At 48.0% G+C, this 4,137-nt stretch overlaps 2 annotated features.

Moving 5' to 3' along the window:
- Window positions 1,812-2,313: an enhancer, noted in NCBI's record as "H3K4me1 hESC enhancer chrX:1252013-1252514 (GRCh37/hg19 assembly coordinates)". NCBI's record gives its function as "activates a minimal SCP1, AML or CMV promoter by ChIP-STARR-seq in naive H9 embryonic stem cells {active_cell/tissue: H9 hESC(naive)}" and the evidence as "EXISTENCE:reporter gene assay evidence [ECO:0000049][PMID:30033119]".
- Window positions 2,314-2,813: an enhancer, noted in NCBI's record as "H3K4me1 hESC enhancer chrX:1252515-1253014 (GRCh37/hg19 assembly coordinates)". NCBI's record gives its function as "activates a minimal SCP1, AML or CMV promoter by ChIP-STARR-seq in naive H9 embryonic stem cells {active_cell/tissue: H9 hESC(naive)}" and the evidence as "EXISTENCE:reporter gene assay evidence [ECO:0000049][PMID:30033119]".

Below are 4,137 nucleotides of genomic sequence, written 5' to 3' on the forward strand. Positions count from 1 at the left end.
CATAGGTAGAAAAATACAAAAAATAGATGATAGATAGATAGCTAGATAGATGATGGAGATGATAGATAGATAGATAGATAGATAGATAATATAGAAAAATAGAGAAATGGATAATAGATGGATACGGAATAGATGGATAGAGATAGATACATAGATAGATGACAGATACATAAATAGATGATAGGTGATGGATAGATCGATAGAGATAGATGATACAAAGATAGAAAAATAGATGGATAGAGATAGATAGAAAAAAATAGATACATGATAGATAGATAAATAAATGACAGAAAAATAAACAGGGACTGGGCGTGGTGGCTCACACCTGCAATCCCAGAACTTTGGGAGGCTGAGGCGGGCGGATCACCCGAGGTCAGGAGTTTGAGACCAGCCTGGCCAACATGGTGAAACCCCATCTCTACTAAAAATACAAAAATCAGCCGGGCGTGGTGGTGCACACCTACAATCCCAGCTACTCGGGCATGGTGGTGCACACCTACAGTCCCAGCTACTTGGGAGACAGAGGCAGGAGAATCACTTTAACCTGGAAGAAGGAGGTTGCAGTGAGCTGAGATCGTGCCATTGCGCTCCAGCCTGGAAGATGAGAGTGAAACTCCATCAAAGAAAGGAAGAAAGAAAGAGAAAGAAAGGAAAAGAAAGAAAGAGAGAGAAAGGAAAGGAAGGAAGGATGGAAGGAAGGGCAAGAAAGAGAGAGAGAAATAAAGAAAGAAAGAAAAGAGAGAAAGGAAAGGAAGGAAGGATGGAAGGAAGGGAAAGAAAGAGAGAGAGAAAGAAAGAAAGAAGAAGGAGAAAGAAAGAAGAGAGAGGAAAGGAAGGAAGGATGGAAGGAAGGGAAAGAAAGAGAAAGAAAGAAAGAAAGAGAAAAAGAAAGAGAAAGAAAGAGAAAAAGAAGAAAGAAAGAAAAAAGAAAGAAAGAGAGAAAGAAAGAAAGAAAGAAAGAAAAGAAAAGAAAAAGAAAAATAGGGAGACAGATGCAGAGACGGAGTGTCTTGTGTCTGAGCCTCAGCACTGCTGACATTTAGGGCTGGATGACTGACTCTGTGATGGGGCCGTCCTGTGCCCTGTAGGATGCTGAGGAGCATCTCTGGGCTCGCCCACCGGGCCCCAGGAGCACCCCCTATCCCAGTTCTGACAACTAAAGGTAATTTCCAGACAGTGCTCAGTGTCCTCTGCGGGTGCAGAATCGCCCCTGGCTGAGGACCTCTCACCACTGATGTCTCCCTGACTCTGAGAGTTTTACCCATGGGTGATGATACTTTGGAACTCAGAATATCCTGTAGCCATTTATGTCCCAGGGAGAGAGAGGAAGAGAGAGGAGAAAGCGGAAGAGAGACGAGAGAGAGAGAGAAGAGAGAGAAAAGATAGAAAGAGAAAGAGAGGAGAGAGAGAGAGGACAGAGAAAGAGGAGAGAGAGAGAGGAGAGAGAAACAGAGAGGAGAGAGGACAGAGAGAAGAGAGAGGAGAGAGAAAAAGAGAGGACACAGAAAGAGGAGAGAGAAAGAGAGAGGAGAGAGAGAAAAGAGGGAAAGAGGAGAGAGAGAAAAGAGGGAAAGAGGAGGGAGAGAGAGGACAGAGAAAGAGGAGAGACACAGGAGAGAGAAAGAAAGAGAAGAGAGAGAGGAGAGAGGGAAAGAGAGAAAGAGAGAGAGAGGAGAGAGAGAGAGAGAGACCAAGACCCACCTCTTTCTCCGTTTCTGAAGTCAGGATTTTGCACCCGGAAAAGAGCACATTGAGGCCGGCCTTCCAGTTGCGGTGGGGCTGAGCCCGTGTCTGCAACCCAGATGCCATTTGGGAAATCATGGTTTTCTCCTGCACAGGGTCCATAGGCCCGGGGGGCAAATTTCCCACTTAACAGACGGTCCTTCTAGCAGGGTTGGTACAGAAGCTTCCCTTTCACTAACATCTTCCAACCTTCCTTCTAAAAAAAAAAAAAAAAAAGTAGGGGGAGAGGGGGAGGTAACCACAGAACAGTTCTTTTATTTATTTTCCCCAAAACAATCAACTATTTAGCCAGCGCGTCCCTGGCTTCTCACCTTGGTGGTCAGGTCATTAATTATGAGCCCAGGTCGCCGCTAAAGACCTTTCCTGGCTGGTCCTGCCTCGGTGCACACAGCAGCAATAGCTGGGGCTTGTCAGGGCCTCCGCAGACCCCCAGGAGCTGGGGTGAGGGAAAGTGAGTCCTAAAAGGGCCACTGTGCCTGGAAGGACGAAGGAGGGAGCTGGGAGGAGGGAGGGAGGGAGACCGTGGTCTCTCTCCAGCCTCTGGAGGCCGTGCCAACTGGGGCTGACGGAGAGGGTGCATTTCACCCTGGCAATGCCTCCACTTTTCCCGGATTCAGAACTTGCAGCCTTGGAGTCTGGGGCAGGAGAGCCTGCCTTCTGGGAACCCCTCTGTCTCGAGATGATGAGGGTCACAGCTTCCCCATCACAGCTGGCCAATCGAGGCACGACCAAAATCGATTCACAGGAGTCTGTGCCTCGACCTCCAAAGCCACATTGGCTTTTTTTGCTCTGCGTGTCTTCAATCTCTCCAGCTGGCTGAGAGTGTATTTTTTTTTACAAGAGACATTTAGGATGAGAAATGAAGGTTTACATGAATTAAACAGGCTGGGCACAGTGGCTCACGCCTGTCATCCCAGCACTTTGGGAGGCCGAGGAGGGTGGATCGCCTGAGGTCGGGAGTTCGAGACCAGCCTGGCCAACATAGGAAAACCCCGTCTCTACTAAAAATACAAGATTAGCCGGGCGCGGTGGCTCACGCCTGTCATCCCAGCACTTTGGGGGGCCGAGGAGGGTGGATCACTTGAGGTCGGGAGTTCGAGACCAGCCTGGCCAACATAGGGAAACCCCATCTCTACTAAAAATACAAGATTAGCCGGGCGCGGTGGCTCACGCCTGTCATCCCAGCACTTTGGGGGGCCGAGGAGGGTGGATCACTTGAGGTCAGGAGTTCGAGACCAGCCTGGCTAACACAGGGAAACCCCGTCTCTACTAAAAATACAAAAATTAGCTGGGTGTGGTGGCGTGTGCCTGTAATTCCAGCTACTCAGGAGACTGAGGCAGGAGAATTGCTTAAACCGGGACGCAGGAGGCGGAGGTTGCAGTGAGCCAAGATCGCACCACTGCACTCCAGCCTTGGCTACAGAACAACGCTCCACTTAAAAAAAAAAAAAGTTAAGATTCTATGACACTGGGTGCAGGAGCTCACGCCTGTAGCCTGTAATGCCAGCACTTTGGGAGGCTGAGGCAGGCGGATCGCCTGAGGTCGGGAGTTCGAGACCAGCCTGGCCAACATGGCGAAACCCCATCTCTACTAAAAATACAAAAATTAGTCGGGCGTGGTGGTGGGCGCCTGTAATCCCAGCTACTTGGGAGGCTGAGGCAGGAGAATCGCTGAAACTTGATCTAAAATAATAATAATAATAATAATAATAAATCCATAAATGTATACTGAGAAGTAGAGTATTTAATTCATTTATTTATTTTTATTTCATTATTTTATTTTATTGTTTAGACAGAGTCTCCCTCTGTTGCCCAGGCTGGAGTGCAATGGCGTGATCTCAGCTCACTGCAACCTCCGCCTCCCGGGTTCAAGCGATTCTCCTGCCTCAGTCTCCTGAGTAGCTGGGATTACAGGCGCCCGCCACCACGCCCGGCTAATTTTTGTATTTTAGTAGAGACGGGGTTTCACCATGTTGGCCAGGCTGGTCTTGAACTCCTGACCTCATGATCCGCCCGCCTCGGCCTCCCAAAGTGCTGGGATGACAGGCGTGAGCCACCGCGGCTGGCCAGTGTGAATGTCATTAATGCCACAAAACTATAAACTTCAAAGTGGTTAAGACGGTAAAGTTTACATGATGTATTTTTGACCATCATTTTTAAAAAGAAGTTTATATGCAAAAGTTCATCTGATTCTTTCATTGTTCACTAACGTTCACTGTAATATTCCTTGCTACAAAGCAAGCCCGCTCTGAATCACAGTTGCCCTCAGGATGTAATAAAACCTTACTTAAGAATAATATAAACCACCTTCTTTCCTGCGGGAATTTGGCCGTACATGGAATGAGGCTGGAGTCTCCGAGTCAGGAATTCCTCATGTTGAAAGCTTTGATGTCT

The sequence above is a fragment of the Homo sapiens genome, chromosome Y (genome assembly GCF_000001405.40).
Source record: "Homo sapiens chromosome Y, GRCh38.p14 Primary Assembly".
NCBI classification, from domain to species: domain Eukaryota; kingdom Metazoa; phylum Chordata; class Mammalia; order Primates; family Hominidae; genus Homo; species Homo sapiens.